General features: G+C 41.0%; 1 protein-coding gene and 1 long non-coding RNA gene across 11 annotated transcripts in view; one reads left to right on the forward strand and one right to left on the reverse strand.

Moving 5' to 3' along the window:
• The window catches only part of LINC02456 (long intergenic non-protein coding RNA 2456), a 432,422-nt gene that overhangs the window by 156,039 nt on the left and 256,511 nt on the right, over positions 1-19,872 (forward strand). The gene's annotated exons all lie outside the window — the stretch shown is intronic.
• The window catches only part of IGF1 (insulin like growth factor 1), an 85,966-nt gene that overhangs the window by 39,739 nt on the left and 26,355 nt on the right, over positions 1-19,872 (reverse strand). The gene's annotated exons all lie outside the window — the stretch shown is intronic.

The raw sequence follows: 19,872 nt of genomic DNA on the forward strand, positions 1-19,872 counted from the left end.
CTTATGAATCTGGAAGTTCCTTTGATTTCAAATGGCAAGACTTCTCCACCCACATACTTGTCCCCAAACCTCATGAAAGGATGAAATTCAGGCCCATAATTCTGTGGGGGTTCCTGAAGCAGGTAGTGCCCAAGATAACTAACACATACTAGTGGTTTTCAAACTTGAGCCTGCATGTTTATCACCTGGATGGCTTATTAAAACACGATCAACAGGCCCCACTTTTAGAGTTGCTGTTTCAACAGGTACTGGGGTGGTGCTCAAGCACTTGCATTTTCCATAAGTTCTCAAATGATGCCAGTGCCTGTGTGCAATATCAACTCCTAATATGTGTGTATATAATATACGATCACGTCCTGTGGCACTGGAGAGAAGGGAAGAACTGCAGTCCTGGGAAAGACCTCTTATACTTTCTTACACAGAAAGCCTTCATATCTCTTGTGATAATTGCCTAATAAAGGTATCTATATGTCAGTCTAGTAGCAGAACCAGTTTTATTGCAAAACAGAAGGAAAAAATATTATAACCCTTCAAAGTAACAAACTGAACTGAAACAAAAAACACATGTTGACCTTTTTCCCTTCCCTGAGTTTTTTATTTGCACAGTCTGTGTCCTTTTGAATTCCAGCTAGCACCTGAAGACAACAAGCCAGGTCTCAGGAAAGGAAATTAGAGCCTTCACAGATTCCCCCGCCAAATGGAAAGCGAGAAACACAAGCTAGTCTTCTGATATTGAAAGCTGCCTTTTCTAAATACTGAGTTCAATTTATTTTTAAGCTTTCCAGATTGTCAGATGGCCAGTCAAGCCAACTTGCTCAATTGTAAAATTCAGCTCAGAAGACAGACTTCCCAGGAACCCAAACCTATCCTTCCTATGCCTTTGCCCTATAACCTCCTAGGGTAATGGAGAGAAGCCAAAAAGGCAGTGTGGGTTTGGGGCACCTTCAGTACCACATCATCAAAATATCTTTTCATGGATCATTCAAAATTTGTGGCAAAGGAGGGTGGAAGGGAATATACCACTGATGATTGCCCATAGAACCACAGTAATTATACAAAGCAGAGGACATTTAATTTTGCAAAAAAAAAATTATAATTTTTTATTTATCAGTTAGGTTACACCTAATCATCAGAATTTCTCGAGCGAGTGATAGAATCAATCTCACTGAGGAAACAGGGTTAATTAATCCAACTGATTCCATACATAAGTGGCAGGAAGAAGGCACATGAAGCTCTGTTTCTTTTCTGAGCCCTTCTGATGAGACTGTGTATGAGGCTTTCATAGCTTTAAATCCAACAGTGCCCAAAGGCAGGAAATCCATATTGGGAGCACTGGGAGGGAAGGCAGGGGCCACTGCTGGCTTCCCAATTAGAGCATTCCTCCAGGCCCCTGTTTCCATTTTCCTTTAAATAAGAAGTTGGGTTTTTAATGATTCTCTTTCTAGTCACTTCCTTCCTGCTGCCTTGCTAGGTCATTTCAGCATATGCCTTCTCAACGAATCTATTTCTGGAAAAGACAGAGGAAAAATGACCTCATTCACTCATTGAGAAGTCAACGGGGCATCCCCAGGGCTGGCTGGTACCTCTGTGTGGAGGGGTCTCCCTGGCCTCCCTAGCAGTCTCTCATGCAACGGCCACCTCGGGACTCTGCAGAGGAACCTGGCACAGGTGCAGAAACACATATTAGCACCACTTGTGTGGTGAAGGCTGAAGGAAGCTTGAGAGGTGGTAGGATGCTTGGTTTTGTCCCAAGGAGCACACAAGCTAATCAAAAACATGGACCAAGATTGATTTTTCACTCTGTTAATTGTTCCTTTGCTGTGCAGAAGCTTTTTAGTTTGATGTAATCCCATTTGTCTATTTTTGCTTTTGTTGCTTTTGCTTTTGGGGTCTTGTCCAAACTAATGTCAAAAGACAAATACTATATGATCTCACTTGTATATGGAATCTAAATAAGTTAATCTAATAGAAGTAGAGAGTAGAATAGTGGTCACTAGAGGCTGCGGAGCATTAGTTAGGTGGGGAGATAGAAACTGTTCAATGGGTACAAAGTTACAGTTAGACAAGAGGAATAATTTCTGGTGTTCTATTGCACAATAGGGTGACTCTGGTTAACAATATCGTATTGTATATTTCAAAATAGCTAAAAAAGAGGATATTGAATGTTCTCACCACAAAGAAATGATAAAGGCATGAGGTGATCGATATGCTAAATACCCTGTTAGACTTTTACACAATGTATGCATGTATCAGAACATCATGTGTACCCCATAATTATTTACAATTATTATGTGTCAATTAAAAGCAAGCATACAAACCAAAACACCAAGATGTCAATATGACCAGAGCAGAAACCTATTTGAACTTTCACACTGGACAGACAGATCCTTAGAAATCCTCCAGTTCAGAGATGCATTTTGGTAGGAGGCATATCAACCCTCTGCATGATGTATAATTATGTATGTTTGTGGATTTTCCTGGAAAGAGGACATTTAGACACTCAGAAGATTCTCAGAAGATTCCATGATCTGAGAAAACTAAAGAAGCATAGTTCACACGTGACCAGGGTCACAAGAGAAGCTGAGGCAAAGTCAGGAAGGACTCCCTGCCTTCCTCTGCGGTCTTCTTTCTATCACACTCTTCAGAGACATCGACGACTGGCCTGCACATTGGCTGCTGGTGATTTGGAATCACATCCCAAATGCCAAATCCTATGTCAAAGGACACCTAAGGATCCAAGAGATCTTTTCAGCTCAGCATTCACCAAAGAGTTGTTCAAGAAGTTCCGTGCAAAAAGCTTAGGAAACGGCTGTAAACGTTATCTTATTTTGCAGAGTCTTAAAGTTCACCAGCCTATTCAAGATGGTCGAGGAACAGCCTATTCAAGTTCCACAGTGAAGAAATCTGTTTCATGGTACTGAAGTCCACTTTCTCCACACAATAGACCACCGGACTCTCATTTTCCAGGAATGTCCATTAACTTCCTGAGGAACAAAGGCGCCTGTATACTTAAATTCCTTCTTTTATCTCTTCTTTCAATTAAAGAACATGAGAGAGTCCTTTGGGAATGTAAACAATTACTGAGTAACAAGGCATTATAAACCGTGAACACCCCAGAAAAAGTTAGTGCTGGGTCTGTCAGAAGAAAACATGAGGGAAGTGGGTTTGCTTTATGGGATTGGTTCAGAATAACATAACTCTGCTAAACTGAAAGGTCTTCAGGGTCTCCCTCTGAGAGGGACCTCCCCCATCCAATCCATCAAAGGCAGTACCATCCTCAGGTTCATCATCCTATTATTTCTTTCAAAACGTTTATCAAATTTGACATGGTCTTGTTTATTTGTTGCTTGACTTGTAATTTTTCTCTGTCCTCCCCCATACCCATTGGAATGTGGGATCTATGAAGCCAGTAGCCTTTTATTCCCTATTCACTGCTGTAGCCACAACACTTGCAACGGTTTTACACAGAGTAAGTGCTTAAGGAGTACATTTTGTACACATGTAGGAACACATTAGTGAATGGATACAGAAACTGTTCATCACTGTGTGTCCAGTGTCTACCCTGTTCAAAAGATGTTTCATGAATAAATGAATGGAGAAGGGGTGGCCTGCATTTTTTTTCATGCTCAAAGCATGCTTGTGAGTATTGGGAGAAATGAGTGCTATTCAGGCCCTTCTCGGATTGATACAAAATTGAGTTTCCTTCCTCAATGATGAGTAATGGACTAGAATGTTTTTCAGATGGCACTAAGTCAGGTAAAGAAACATTAGAAGGTAGGATTTGAATTTAAGGAGACCTTTAACAATTTAGAAACGAGAAGTCATTAAAAACAGAAAGATGTTTAAAATAGACAAAAATGGGCTCCATCTGGCAGAGACAAGTACTATAACAAAATAGCTGTGGGCCCTGAGTGAGCAGGAAAGTACTACAACAAATTGTAATATGAGGCGGGTGTATGTAGAGAATTATGAAACGAAAGCCTAGAGAGTAATCTTTCCACAAAACTTGGCATTGCTGAGGTTTTAATTAGAGTGGGAACTCAGATTTCATTCTCCTATTTTAAGGCTCATTTGGAGAACCTGGAAAAGATCCAGCTAGGAGAAGGAAAAAAAAAAAAAAAGATTAACTGGGTGGAAAATGAAGTTAAGATCTAGCCCAAAAAAGAAAAGGCTAAGAAGTGACTTAATCACCAGCACCAGGCATAAGAAGAGTGATTATTACACAGAAGATTATTCCTCATCTCTTCTGAGGACTAGACAAGGGTAAACAGACTCGGGCCACATTGGAAGCATTTCCACTTAAACATCGGGAAGAATTTCTTGATTATAAGGGGAAACTTGCTGACCCCAGGCGCTGTGGGAAGCTGAGCAATTGCTACTCTGGAGATCTTTAAATGTAGGATGACAACCATCTGCCTTGGAAGGCTTAGCTAGAGGCAAGGGACCGGACCTAAGGACCTCTTGGCTTTCCTTCCATCTTTGATTCTTACGGCCGCTAAGCATCCCCATTCTACAGAAATCCTCCATTCCTGTCATAAGACAGACCCCACACTGTCCAAATCCGCATGGCTTCCCCTGGGAGGAGCTCAATTGTTCTCTTCTGAATGGGAAGGAAACTGGTTGTGTTGCCTCAGCTGCTTCCCTTCTCCAGCCCCCACAGAGAGAGGACAGCTTTGGTCCTGATGGGCCTCCCCAAATACTGGGATGGGCCTGCTTCTCCATCTTGTGTGGGATTGGAAGATGTGGATTCAGTTGGAGATAGCCGATTTCTCCAAGAATCATGGAATGTCAGAGCTGCAAGACATTTCAGAGCGAATCCAGACCCATCTCCTTGCTACTCAAATCAGGAAACTGAGAACTTGGAAGACCAAATGATTCTCTCCAGGTAGTGCGGCTGGTTCTTTTTCCACGGGACTAAAATCCAGGCCTCTGGCTCCTTATTCTACACTGTCTCCTTGCTACCTGTGTTTCCGCTGCAGTTAGAAGGAACATTTTAAATGTAGATAGAATGTCTAAAATCCTATCTTTGGTAGCTGGACTGCAGGTGAAAAAATGAGCAAGGGAGAGCAGAAATTCTAACAGTAGAATTTCTGGCAGCATTATTCAACTTGAGTGAACAAGGATAGGTCACTCAGACTCTTCAGCATGTCAGTTTCCCCGTATTTAAGTGAGGCATTTGGGCCAGGAACATTTTAAGGCTTAAACAAACTGCAATATATTATGATTCTGTGATTTGAAATTTTAGCTACAAAAATAATAATGAATAGAAACTCATCTCCTGGTCTAAAGGAATGAGTTTTTTGGGAGATCATTTGTGATGTAATTAGATGGTGCTCAGTCCTTTTGAGACTCTAAAATGGCAATTTTCTTTCTATTTTTAAAGGTAATTTACAAATTTAATATTGTGTTGGGGAATATGCTTCAGCTATCCCCTGTACAAGGAAATCTCCAAGCCTCTTCTTCTATGCAGTCCCTTCACTGCACTTTGGACAGGCACCCTAGTGACTCATGGGAATTATTTTCTAAAAGCTCTATTATACATCAGTGTCTCTGAAACCAAAGTCAATCTTTGCCATTGACCAAAGTCAATGTCAACCAAAGTCAAGTCAACAAAGTCAAATCCTCCTCTGGACTTGCTGGTATCTGCACCATTATCTTCTTGCTTACTCAGACTCAAAATGTTACAGTCATCTTTGACTCCTTTCTACTCCTTTAACCAGGCAGGCAATATATTGCATCATGTCTTTCACTATCATAGATCTCAGGTCCTCCCACTCTTACTGCCTGCTGCTCCTGCAAAATTTCAGGCACTCATGACTCTCCTGCTTCCAGCGTTTTCCTGCCCTTTAGATGAGCTGAAGCAAAGGGGGCAGGGAACATAGAATAATGGTTTCAGGAATGACAAGTGGGAGTGGGCCATATTTGGGAAGCAGGCTATAGAGTGAAATAACTTGAGAGAAGCATGATACCCCAAATCTTCAGAGCTCGTGGGCAGAGGATGGGCTTCCCATGGAATGTGAAAAGGGGTTGCAGGTTATTTTATGTAGATATTGGAGAAAAGCGTGACCCAAGGAGACTGGAAAACCTGAGTGCATCTGGTTTATACATATGCTGTATCATTTACCTTTTACAACAATCCTATGAGATGGACACTGTTATCATCTTCACTTTACAGTTGAAAATATTGAGCCATAGAAAAGTTTATTTATTTGTCTCAGGCCACTCACTTATTAAATGCCCAAACCAGGATCCAAACTCAAGACTTTCTGAGCACTAAGTCATTCTATTACACTGCTTCTTCTCCTTCTTCTTCTTCTTCTTCTTCTTCTTCTTCTTCTTCTTCTTTTTTTTTTTTGAGACAGGGTTTTGCACTGTTGCCCAGGCTGGAGTGCAGTGGTGCAATTGTGGCTCACTACAGCGTCAACCTCTCAGGCTCAAGAGATCCTCCCACCTCAGCCTTCTGAGTAGCTGGGACTGCAGGCATGCATTACCATGTCTGGTTAATTTTTGATTATTTGTAGAGACAGGGTCTCACTATGCTGCTCAGGCTGGTCTCGAACTCCTCAGCTCAAGCAATTTTCCTGCCTTGGCCTCTCAAATTGCTGGAATTTCAGGAGTGAGCCACTGCATCTGGCAACACTGCTTCTTAACTTGAGTAGAATCTTCCTGCCTAGACAGAAGTGAATGGGAAAGCTTAGTGCATCTTAGAGTATCTTCTAAGAGAAACTTGGTGTGAAACCATGGGGAATAAAGCCCAGTACTTGACATGGGATTTTAATTCATTTACTTGATATGACATAGTGGGTGATGCAAAATAGGTACCTTTTTCTTCACCTTTTTCCACAGTGACTTTTCACTTTAGTTTGCTTGGCCTGATAAACAGAGTGAAGTGAAAAGGCATGCTCTTTGCATTTTAAAAACCCCACTACCTCAACCCCTATGATTTCAGGCTCCTTTTTAAGCTCTGCTGATTCTAATTGTCATCTCTTATGATACTGACAAGTTTATTAATTGCTTCTGTCTTGTTTGGCACCATCCAACAATAACAGGAAAAAAAGGCAAGTGAGGATAAAGACATTCTTTTGAGCAGCCGCTCATTTGCTCTAACACATCTGGCTAATGGATAGAGTATAAAATTGCTCAAGAAATATGGCCGCCAGGAACTTTGTTAATGTTTTTGTGCCCAAGTTGATATAAACTGTGGAGCTGAGCCAGTCTTATATGCAGAAAGAATGGTAAAAATAAATGTTGACTAAGTATCTACCATATATGCCAGGCACTGTGCTAGGCACCACTGGTTATCTTATATCATCCTACAGGAACCTAATAGGGAGGTGTTATTGCTGTTTTTGATAGCATGGAAAATGGCTCAGAGATCACAAAGCTCATTAAGTGATGCTAATAGGACTGGCATCTAGATCTGGCTGACACTAGATCAACCTTTCATTTTGTAGTGTCTTGATTTGGGGCACTCAAGTGGTAGAACGTAAGGAGCTCAGGGATAGCGTCTTTGGCAGAGATTCCTAGTAATTTCCCAATAGCTATTTTCCCTCTTTCTGCAGTAATAGAAACCCTAATTTTCAGCTAACTGTATTTTCCAGCCTAACTTAGAACTCTGTGTGGCTATGTGTTCAAGTTCTAGGAAATGAAATATAAGTGAAAGTGTCACATGAAAGCTTCTGGGATCCTTCATTAAAAGACAACCAAAATGCATCCTTTGCTTTTTCTATCTTCCTATTGGCTAGAGCATGGGTATAATGTTGAACCTCCAGCAGCCATCTTGGCCCCTGCAGATGAGGGCCACCATGCTGGGATGGTGAAATAGAAATCTAGAAATTGCTGGGTCTTGAAGATTTTGTGGCATAGAGCTACTTTGCACAGCAGATGGTTCAGCAGCCCTGAACTATGTATCTTGGGACTACTACATAAGAGAAACAAACTTCCATATTGTTTAAGCCAGTGTAATCCTGGAACTCTGTTTCTCACAGAGTATTTTCATGATAACCTCCTCTTGAATGAACAAAACAACAGATCACTGGCTGGCTACTAATGCCTCCAATGTCTCCATTATGGCTTTGTTCATTGAATTAAGATATATTTACACAGAGTTTCTGGAAAGGAAGGTAACAGATCACTGAGAGTACATAACTGAAGCAACAGTAGGCAAAAAACAGGCAACCTTGAGGTGCCTGTAACTTTTTATTTTTATTTATTTATTTATTTATTTTTTGAGACAGCGTCTCACTCTGTCACCTAGGCTGGAATGTAATGATACACAATCTTGGCTAACTGCAACCTCTGCCTCCCGGGGTTCAAGTGATTCTCCTGCCTCAACCTCCTAAATAGCTGAGATTACAGGTGCCTGCCACCATGTCTGGCTAATTGTTGTATTTTAGTAAAGATGGGGTTTCACCATGTTGGCCAGGCTGGTCTCGAACTCCTGACCTCAAGTGATCCGCCTGCCTCAGCCTCTCAAAGTGCTGAGATTACAGGCATGAGCCACCACGCCCGGCTGAAGTGCTCATAATTCTGTGGCAGGCATTGGTGCTGCTATTGGGTGTGAGGAGTCAAGAGGGAGGGGGCAGAGTGAGGTCCTCTCTGCTCTTGACAATATGGAAAAAAGACACCCAATTTCCTTTTTTTTTTTTCTACCTAACAGTTTTGTCCAGGGCAGTTCTTTTCTAGGAAATGTACCCCATATCTGTAATTACACAGAGCAAAAGTTCAGATTACATCAGTTTGGGATTAACGGTAATGATGACACCTTTGTATTGACAATACTAGACTGCAACAGGAGAGTTAGGATCAGGAAATGAAAGCATTCTCCCAATACCACCTCAACTTCATGGGCAAAAAGGGGGCACCCTCCATGAGCAGTCAGTCATTGATGTATTTACGCGTAAGTTCATTCAACAAAGTTATTTACTGTCTACTATGTGCCAGGAATACTCTTTATAGATTAAATATTAAGAAAATATTAAGGACATTTTAAATTTATGATGACAAAATCATATCTCATCTAGTCTTCTTGCAGAACTAAGCTCAAGTCAATTTAAAAACAACTACTTTAAAAGCAAGCAAAACAATTGGTTACCTGCTACATTGAAAGCACTGCCCTAAGTGCCGCGTAGTATGTGAAAATGAATAGGCAAGGCAAAGTTGCAACCTTCAAGGAATTTGGGACCCAGTAAGGAGATGCGTTAACTCATAAATAACTATGATATAAAGCAGAATATACTTGATTGCCTCAGGTGGTACAAGATACAAGGACCGTGCAGAGGACAAATTTTGCTGAGTCACTGAGAGGTGGCCTCCACTCAAGAGCCAAATGACCATCTCATAAATTGGTATGATACCCCAACATCATTTATTAAATAGGGAATCCTTTCCCCATTGCTTGTTTTTGTCCGGTTTGTCAAAGTTCAGGTGGTTGTAGATGTGTAGCGTTATTTCTGAGGCCTCTGTTCTGTTCCATTGGTCGATATATCTGTTTAGGTACCAGTACCATGCTGTTTTGGTTACCGTAGACTTGTAGTATAGTTTGAAGTCAGGTAGCGTGATGCCTCCAGCTTTGTTCCTTTTGCTTAGGATTGTCTTGGCTATCCAGGCTCTTTTTTGGTTCCATATGAAATTTAAAGTGGTTTTTTCTAATTCTGTGAAGAAAGTCAATGGTACCTTGATGGGAATAGCATTGAATCTATAAATTACTTTGGGCAGTATGGCAATTTTCATGATATTGATTCTTCCTATCCATGAGCATGGAATGTTTTTCCATTTGTTTGTGTCCTCTCTGATTACCTTGAGCAGTGGTTTGTAGTTCTCCTTGAAGAGGTCCTTCACATCCCTTGTAAGTTGGATTCCTAGGTATTTTATTCTCTTTGTAGCAATTGTGAATGGAGTTCACTCATGATTTGGCTCTCTGTTTGTCTGTTATTGGTGTATAAGAATGCTTGTGATTTTTCCACATTGATTTTGCATCCTGAGACTTTGCTGAAGTTGCTTATCAGCTTAAGGAGATTTGGGGCTGAGATGATGGGGTTTTCTAAATATACAATCATGTCATCTGCAAACAGAGACAATTTGACTTCCTTTCTTCCTATTTGAAAACTATTTCTTTCTCTTTCCTGATTGCCCTGGCCAGAACTTCCAATGCTGTGTTGAATAGGAGTGGGGAGAGGGGGCATTCTTGTCCTGTGCTGGTTTTCAAAGGGAGTGCTTCCAGCTTTTGCCCACTCAGTATGATATTGGCTGTGGGTTTGTCATGAACAGCTCTTATTATTTTGAGATATGTTCCATCAATACCTAGTTTATTGAGAGTTTTTAGCATGAAGGGCTGTTGAATTTTATTGAAGGCCTTTTCTGCATCTCTTGAGATAATCATGTGGTTTTTGTCATTGGTTCTGTTTATGTGATGGATTATGTTTATTGGTTTGCCTATGTTGAACCAGCCTTGCATCCCAGGGATGATCGTCGTGGATAAGCTTTTTGATGTGCTGCTGGATTCAGTTTGCCAGTATTTTACTGAGAATTTTCATATTGATGTTCATCAGGGATATTGGCCTTAAATTTTCTTTTTTTGTTGTGTCTCTGCCAAGTTATGGTGTCAGGATGATGCTGACCTCATTAAATGAGTTAGGGAGGAGTCCCTCTTTTTCTCTTGTTTGGAATAGTTTCAGACGGAATGGTACCAGCTCCTCTTTGTACCTCTGGTAGAATTCGGCTATGCATCCATCTGGTCCTGGGTTTTTTTTTGGTTGGTAGGCTATTAATTACTGCCTCAATTTCAGAACTTGTTATTGGTCTATTCAGGGATTCAACTTCTTCCTGGTTTAGTCTTGGCAGGGTGTATGTGTCCAGCAATTTATCCATTTCTTCTAGATTTTCTTGTTTCTTTGCATAGAGGTGTTTATAGTATTCTCTGATGGTAGTTTGTATTTCTGTGGGATCGGTGGTGATACCCCCTTTATCATTTTTTATTGCATCTATTTGATTCTTCTCTCTTTTCTTCTTTATTAGTCTTGCTAGCGGTCTATCTATTTTGCTGCTCTTTCAAAAAATGAGCTCCTAGATTCCTGAATTTTTTGAAGGGTTTCTCATGTCTCTATCTCTTTCAGTTCTGCTCTGATCTTAGTTATTTCTTGTCTTCTGCTAGTTTTCGAATTTGTTTGCTCTTGCTTCTCTAGTTCTTTTAATTGTGATGTTCAGGTGTCGATTTTAGATCTTTCCCACTTTCTCCTGTGGGCATTTAATGCTGTAAATTTCCCTCTAAAAACTGCTTTAGCTGTGTCCCAGAGATTCTGGTACATTTTGTCTTTTTTTTCTTACTGGTTTCTAAGAACTTATTTATTTCTGCCTTAATTTTGTTATTTACCCAGTATTCATTCAGGAGCAGGTTGTTCAGTTTCCATGTACTTGTGCAGTTTTGAGTGAGTTTCTTGATCCTGAGTTCTAATTTGATTGCACTGTGGTTGGAGAGACTGTTTGTTATGATTTCCATTCTTTTTCATTTGCTAAGGAGTGTTTTACTTCCAATTATGTGGTCAATTTTAGAATAAGTGCGATATGGTGCTGAGAAGAGTGTATATTCTGTTGATTTGCGGTGGAGAGTTCTGTAGATGTCTATCAGGTCCGCTTGATCCAGAGCTGAGTTCAAGTCCTGAATATCCTTGCTAATTTTCTGTCTCGTTGATCTGCCTAATATTGACAGTGGGGAGTTAAAGTCTCCCAGCATTATTGTGTGGGACTCTAAGTCTCTTTGTAGGTCTCTAAAAACTTGCTTTATGAATCTGGGTGCTCCTGCATTGGGTGCATATATATTTAGGATAGTTAGCTCTTCTTGTTGCATTGATCCCTTTACCATTATGTCATTCTTTGTCTTTTTTTATCTTTGTTGGTTTAAAGTCTGTTTTATCAGAGACTAGGATTGCAACCTCTTCTTGTTTTTGCTTTTTATTTGCTTGGTAAATATTCCTTCAACCCTTTATTTCGAGCCTATGTGCGTCTTTGCATGTGAGATGAGTGTCCTGAATACAGAGCACCAATGGGTCTTGACTCTATCCTATTTGCCAGTCTGTGCCTTTAATTAGGGCATTTAGCCCATTTCCATATGCAGAAAATTGAAACTGGACCGCTTCCTTACATCTTATACAAAAATTAACTCAAGATGGATTAAAGACTTTAATGTAAGACCTAAAACCATAAAAACTCTAGAAGAAAACCTAGGCAATACCATTCAGGACATAGGCATGGACAAACACTTCCTGACTAAAACACCAATAGCAATGGCAAGAAAAGCCAAAACTGACAAATGGGATGTAATTGAACTAAAGAGCTTCTGCACAGCAAAAGAAACTATCATCAGAGTGAACAGGCAACCTACAGAATGGGAGAAAATTTTTTCAATCTATCCATCTGACAAAGGGTAATATCCAAAATCTATAAGGAACTTAAACAAATTTACAAAAAAAAAAAATCTCATGGGACTGTAAACTAGTCAACCATTGTGGAAGTCAGTGTGGCGATTCCTCAGGGATCTAGAACTAGAAATACCATTTGACCCAGCCATCCCATTACTGGGTATATACCCAAAGGACTATAAATCATGCTGCTATAAAGACACATGCACACGTATGTTTATTGCGGCACTATTCACAATAGCAAAGACTTGGAACCAACCCAAATGTCCAACAATGATAGACTGGATTAAGAAAATGTGGCACACATACACCATGGAATACTATGCAGCCATAAAAAATGATGAGTTCATGTCCTTTGTAGGGACATGGATGAAATTGGAAACCATCATTCTCAGTAAACTATCGCAAGAACAAAAAACCAAACACCGCATATTCTGACTCATAGGTGGGAATTGAACAATGAGATCACATGGACACAGGAAGGGGAATATCACACTCTGGGGACTGTGGTGGGGTGGGGGGAGGGGGGAGGGATAGCATTGGGAGATATACCTAATGCTAGATGACACATTAGTGGGTGCAGCGTACCAGCATGGCACATGTATACATATGTAACTAACTTGCACAATGTGCACATGTACCCTAAAACTTAGAGTATAATAAAAAAAAAAAAAAAAAAAAAAAAAAATCTCATCAGAAAGTGGGCAAAGGGTATGAACAGACACTTCTCAAAAGAAGACGTATATGCAGCCATCGGACATGAAAAAAAAGCTCATCATCACTGGTCATTAGAGAAATGCAAATCAAAACCACAATGAGATACCATCTCATGCCAGTTAGAATGGTGATCATTAAAAAGTCAGGAAACAACAGATGCTGGAGAGGATGTGGAGAAATAGAAATGCTTTTTCACTGTTGGTGAGAGTGTAAATTAGTTCAACCATTGTGGAAGACGGTGTGGCGATTTCTCAAGGATCTAGAACCAGAAATACCATTTGACCCAGCAATCCCATTACTGGGTATATACCCAAAGGATTATAAATTATTCTACTATAAAGACACATGCACATATATGTTTATTGCAGCACTATTCACAATAGGAAAGACTTGGAACCAACCCAAATGCCCATCAGTGATAGACTGGAAGAAGAAAATGTGGCACATATACACCATAGAATACTATGCAGCCATGAAAAGGGATGAATTCGTGTTCCTTGAAGGGACATGGATGAAGCTGAAAACCATTCTCAGCAAACTAACACAGGAACGGAAAACCAAACACCACATTTTCTCACTCATAAGTGTGAGTTGAACAATGAGAACACATGGACACAGGGAGGGGAACATCACACAGTGGGGCCAGTCGGGGGGTGGGGGCAAGGGAAGGGATAGCATTAAGAGAAATACCTAATGTAGGTGACGGCTTGATGGGTGCAGTAAACCACAATGGCACATGTATAGCTATGTAAGAAACCTGCACATTCTGCACGTTTCCCAGAACTTAAAGTATAATAATAATGAAAAATTGGTATGATACCCCATTGCTACGGTTTTCTGTTTGCAGAACAGGAAGGCAGTAAAGTTATTTGTTCCCCATCCCGCCCCCCAACTAGAGGAATGTCAGCACAGGCCTCTCTCAGGATGTCAGAGAAGGGACATCCTGAGAGAGGCCTGTGCTGACATTCCTCTAGGGTTGAATCCTAACCCCTTCTCTGTGGAGGGATTTTATGAATTCAAGGTCTTTTACAGCCCTATAATTCGATGGTTCTTCTACCTCTATTCTTGACACAAACTCTTGCCCTCTGGATCACCTGGGCTTTCTAAGCCTTGTCATATTATATTCACTTGGCAGAAGTGAAGCACAAATGTGCGTAGGTAGAGAGGCCTCCAAAGAACACCGGGCTCACGGATTCTCCTTTCGTCTCATCCAGTAGCATAGAGAGAGGGCGAGTTCTCAAGAAGTGCTCAGACATGTTAAACGTGAGGTTACGAGATGAAGACTTCAAAAGTGTTTTATTAAAGTGATGGACTCTTCCGAATGGAGAAAATCCATCCTGAGTATATCTGTTTTAGAGGAGTGACTTTTCATATAGTAGATTTTCTACAGGGGAAGTGCTTTCTTCCCAGGGTTTTTATATTATTCCCCTGTCATTCTTTTTCTTTTTCCTCACTAAATTTCATGCTCTCCTTGCCCAGTTCACTTATTTGCTGCTCAAAGCTAAAAATCTCCCTACTTTTATGCGACTCTCCTAGAAATTGCTCCATGACAAAGAGTAAGAGAGTAGCATAAAGAGCTAAATGAACTATTTTGGATGTGACAGGAATTGTATTTGCCTTTTGGCGCTGCTTTCCACTTTCTTTGTGAAGCATCTCTTGCTCCGATGGCCCCAGCAGCTCTCTGCCACGAATGGAAACAGCCATCGTACACTGCTCCACTTGGAGACAAATGGATGCCCAATTGCTCTGGGACTAAATTCGACTTGATAAAATGCTGCATTTCCAGATTTTTCAATCTCTTCTTCGCCTTCCATCTGAAGGCTAAGGCCTTCATCATCTAATCTGGAGATGATTATTATTACTCTTTCTGTGTTGGCAAATACAGATACAGGGCACATTTGCCTTTCTTTCAAACTCATTTGGGAGACTTAAATAAGTTCTCTTGCTACATTTAATTTCATTTTCTCAATATCTACATGCTGTTTGTCAATACAATAATATACTTCCATCTCTGTCTCTAGTTTTAAATCATTCTTTCCAATTTGAATAAGATTTCAATAATACTTTGGGCGGGTTTTCAGAGGAAGGATCTTGGGTCATTTCTCCTAAACCTCTGTTAATTGAAGATAGGATTTGGGATCTAGGAATGCAGAGTCACAGAGGTTCAGCCTTGAAGAAGCTTTAAAAGATCTTTATAGTAGATTAGTTATAGTTGCTTAGTCTGTTAACCTGTTATAGTAGGTTAGTCTGATGGTGTCAGTGGATAACAAGGAGAAAGATTTTGGAAAACCAGAAAGGCTACTGGTAAGAAAATAAGCAGGTGTCAAAACATACACTCTAAAGTTATATCAAGTGAGTCACAGTTTCATATACAGAATTTCAAGAATGGTTCTGCACACCTAGTGTAGCTTTTCTATTCTTAGGACTCTTCTACGTAGACCAATTGACTCCTGGATAGGAATTAAGTTCATCAATGAAGTTTTTATCAAAACCTGTAACTCTTTGATGCATTTGATCTTCAAGGATAAGAGAGTATTGCTCTCCTTTCTGTAGATAATTTCAGTATATCTCAAACAAATAATGTGAGAATTACTGAGCGCATTTTATTGCTCTCTATTTCATTTGTTTACGCAGAGTAAGTAATGAACTTCCAGGAAGCCAGAACTTCTAGAAGCTCAAGATCAAGGTGCTAAGATGTAGGCCTGTGGACAGTGAGGCTTTCTTGCCACAACAAATCTAATACCAGTTTTTGTAACAGTGGGTGTGTAACAATGCATGCTGTAGATGATGAAAAGAAGAGAAAGTGAAAAGAAGATGGGAGATCGATGAGAAAGATATTCCAACCATTGGGAAGGAAAGAAAACTTGAGGAATATACTGTATAGCTCACCGCTCAGATGATTCCAGTGCACAGGGATCTCTCCCTTCCTTGCTATTGTTTGGCACTGGCCATGTTCACCTTTCTGGCTAACCTCTAAGCATCTGAGGCAGGAACCCTGTCAGTTTGGTTCAGTGTTGACAGGGTTTGGCTGTGTCCCCACCCAAATCTCATCTTGAACTGTAATTCCCATGTGTGGAGGGAGGGACCTGGTGGGAGGTGATTGGAGCATGGGGGTGGTTTCCCCCATGCTGTTCTCATGATGGTGAGTGAGTTCTCATGCGATCTAATGGTTTTAGAAGGGGCTCTTCCCTCTTCACACTCTCTCACCTGCCACCATGTAAGATATGTCTACTTCGGCCGGGCGCGGTGGCTCACGCCTGTAATCCCAGCACTTTGGGAGGCCGAGGCGGGCGGATCACGAGGTTAGAAGATCAAGACCATCCTGGCTAACACGGTGAAACCCCGTCTCTACTAAAAATACAAAAAATTAGCCGGGCGTGGTAGCGGGCGCCTGTAGTCCCAGCTACTCGGGAGGCTGAGGCAGGAGAATGGCGTGAACCCGGGAGGCGGAGCTTGCAGTGAGCCGAGATCGCGCCACTGCACTCCAGCCTGGGCGACAGAGCGAGACTCCGTCTCAAAAAAAAAAAAAAAAAAAAAAAAAAAAAGATATGTCTACTTCTTCTGCCATGATAAGTTTCCTGAGGCCTCTGCTGCCATGTGGAACTGTGAGTCAATTAAACCTCTTTTCTTTATAAATTACCCAGTCTTGGACAGTTCTTTATAGCAGTGTGAGAATGGACTCATACAAATGTCATATCCCTAGCATCTGTTATAGAGCCTGTCATAAAATAGATGCTCAGTAAATATTTGCACACTAATCAATCATATTTTAGCACTGAACTTTGCAGATCTGTAACACTCAATCTGTGTTAGGGGGGTCTTGCCAATTACAAAACTGTAGGCCATTCAGCATGCTTATTTGACATCCTTCCAGAAGGCATGGTGCTCCTCTTGCTGTGATTATTGACCCTCTGAGTTTGAAGATAACTAATGAAGACATTGGAAGTGTACTTTTTAAAAAGATAAGACATTCTCTTCTTATTGGCTAACTGCACCTATGGGAAAAAGAAGTCTTCTGAGCCAGAAAGAGCTGGGTCAAAGAGGAGCGCTTGGGCTGGAATCTGCCAGAGAAACTTGGACCTTTGAGACATCTGAGCAGCAAAGCAATTTAAGGACATGGGCCCTAAAAAGAAAACAGCACCTGCTTTGCTGAGCAGCCTTGTCTGGAAATTGCTGGGTTAGCAACACGTTGCACCCTGTGAAAACTTGTGACTTCAATATGAGAAAAAAAAAGGCTTTAATTAAATTGGGTGTTTTTGAATCTTCCTCAGGGAGTTAGGATTTGGGGGTCGAGAAGCTGAGAACTTTATCAGAATGAAAGGAGTCTTCTCAGAAATCCTGGAACCCCACAGTTCTTAGTGAGATACATCATTCATGTGTGGCTGTGCTTTTGCCTTTAGAAGCACTGCTGCCATTAGCATTCTTTTACAGTCAAGCAAGGCTAAAGCTGGAATAATGTGTTAGGTGTGTGGCCTAGGAGGGTCTACATTGTGCTTTTCCAAAGTGTTTTTTATAGGATGTAGGTTTTCAGGAGTGGGAGAGTTCCCTATAGAGCTTGGCATTTGTTTGTTTGTTTTGCTTTGTTTTGAATTTGGAAAGATGATCTTAAAGAGGTATGGTAGGATTAGGAAACTTTTCTTCAGGCCTCAGTTAGTGGCCTCCGGTATTCAATTATACTCAGGCAATGTTAATTGAGCACTTTCTACATGCAAATCACTGTCCCAGATTCTGAGGACATACAGAGGAATATGATGCCAATTCTTGTCTGAAGAAGTTCACAGATGAACACATTCTTAACTCTAATATAAGTAAGGTTGGGAAAATTACTGTATGTACAAAAAAAGAGAGGCCTCTAACAGGGAAAGATAAGTTTCTCTTATGATGAAGTTGGAAGAGGCATTGCTAGGAAAGAGATGAGTTTGGCCTTAAAAGTTACTCAGCATTTCCATGGCTAGGGATGTGGGGATGGAAGAAGAAGCAAAGAATAAATGTATGCTCTATAGAGCATGCTGTCAAGGTTGTCAGGTACCATGCGTGCTTGAGTAGGCTGCCTGAGTTAAAACCCTGGATTCGTTGCACTTAGAATCTATGTGCCTTTAATCACATTCTGTACTTCTCTGTGTCTCAGTGTCCTCACTTGTAAAGTGAAGATAATGATAGTACCTATTTCACAGAGTTGTTTGGTGATTCAGTGAGTTAATACATGTAAGTGCTTAAAACAGTGTCATGCATATAAGAGCTTGGAAAGTGCTAGCTATTATAATTCTTCAATATAGATGTGCCAACCTATCTTTCTGGGCTTATCTTGCACTGCTCTGCACTAGCCTAACACCCAAACAACTGGCTGGATGTCTCATGCACCTGCAAACATACTCCTTACTTTGCTGTCTATGTGCTCTTCTATTGAGTTAGTTTCTGTGTCCAGAATTTTTCCATCTATCAAAATCCTCCCTGTACAAGGCCTACCTTAAACACATGATGTGACTTCCAGAGAAACATGAGTACTCTCACAGCACTTCACAGGCATCATGGCAAGGTTTTGGAAGCTCTTCCCTTCTGAAGCTTGCCATTAACCATGGCTACTACCAACCCTCCAGAGTAACTCATGAGGTCTAGGGAATGAGAGGGTTTTCTCTTCCTACTCCCTAGAAGGAAGTACATGCCCCATGGGGAAGGAAAGATTCATCTTTCTGCTATTCCTAGATTTCCCTGAAAGATAACAGCAATACAGAGGAACAAGATAAACATTAACATCTGATGGCCACCTGCATGTGCCAATGTTTGTCTTAGCTGAGTCTGAAGGCCATTGCCACCTTTGCGAATAAGCCAGGGCATGACACTCTCCATGAAGCTCCCAAGAATATTTAGGCCAGCCTATTTAAGAATGGAAAAGGGCCTTATTTCCTCAATTTTGAAAATTGTTCATAGATTGAGCCAGTAGAGTTATCCAATGTGGATGTAAGATTCGCCATGAAGGGGTCAATTGAGTCAGAGGCAAATGTTTGCTGCAGATCCAGGCTGTTGGATAGAGCCCCAAATATTTGGGAATGCAGGGATGAGAGGGAAGAAGAAGGCTTTCCTATTTGCTGTTTACCTATCAGTCTGGGGACAAATTGGTGATTTCAGGCTCATGCCTCTATATCACAATGCGTTAGTGTCCACCATTAATGTGGTGCTTGGCAGAGAGGTTCAGGGCTGAACACACAAGGGCCAGAGCTGCTTTTCCACATCAGCTCTCTCAAGCCTGGAGAATCTTGGCTGGAAGTGTGGGGGAAGGGAAAGGGAAGAAGGGAGGACATGGCCCCAGCCACCCACCGTGCCATTCCTGGGTTTTGATTAAAGAGGAAAATATTGGCTCTGACATTCTCGATTTGCAAGATCCAAATGTATTTTGACTTTTTAGAAGAACTAAGGGTTCAGGTTTCACAAGAATGATCCTGCCTAGAACTTCTGACTCAAACTTAAAGCTGTTTGGCTTCTCAATAGTTGAATGCACAGCAAGTGCAGTTAACAAAGTGACATTGCTATGGCTGCAAGTTGCACAACAGCATAATGTCAGCCTTCTGATGAGAGCTGGGCTGTTGAGCAATGCCACTTGGAAGAGAGAGGTCACACACAGAAACAGTTCTAAGAATGTTATATCTTTATAAATATTCAATATATTTCTTTATGAGTTAGAACCCAGACTTTCCAAACCTCTGATTCATGTTTTTCCAGAAATCTCAGGTCAGGCAGTACA

Source organism: Homo sapiens, chromosome 12 (genome assembly GCF_000001405.40).
Source record: "Homo sapiens chromosome 12, GRCh38.p14 Primary Assembly".
NCBI lineage: Eukaryota > Metazoa > Chordata > Mammalia > Primates > Hominidae > Homo > Homo sapiens.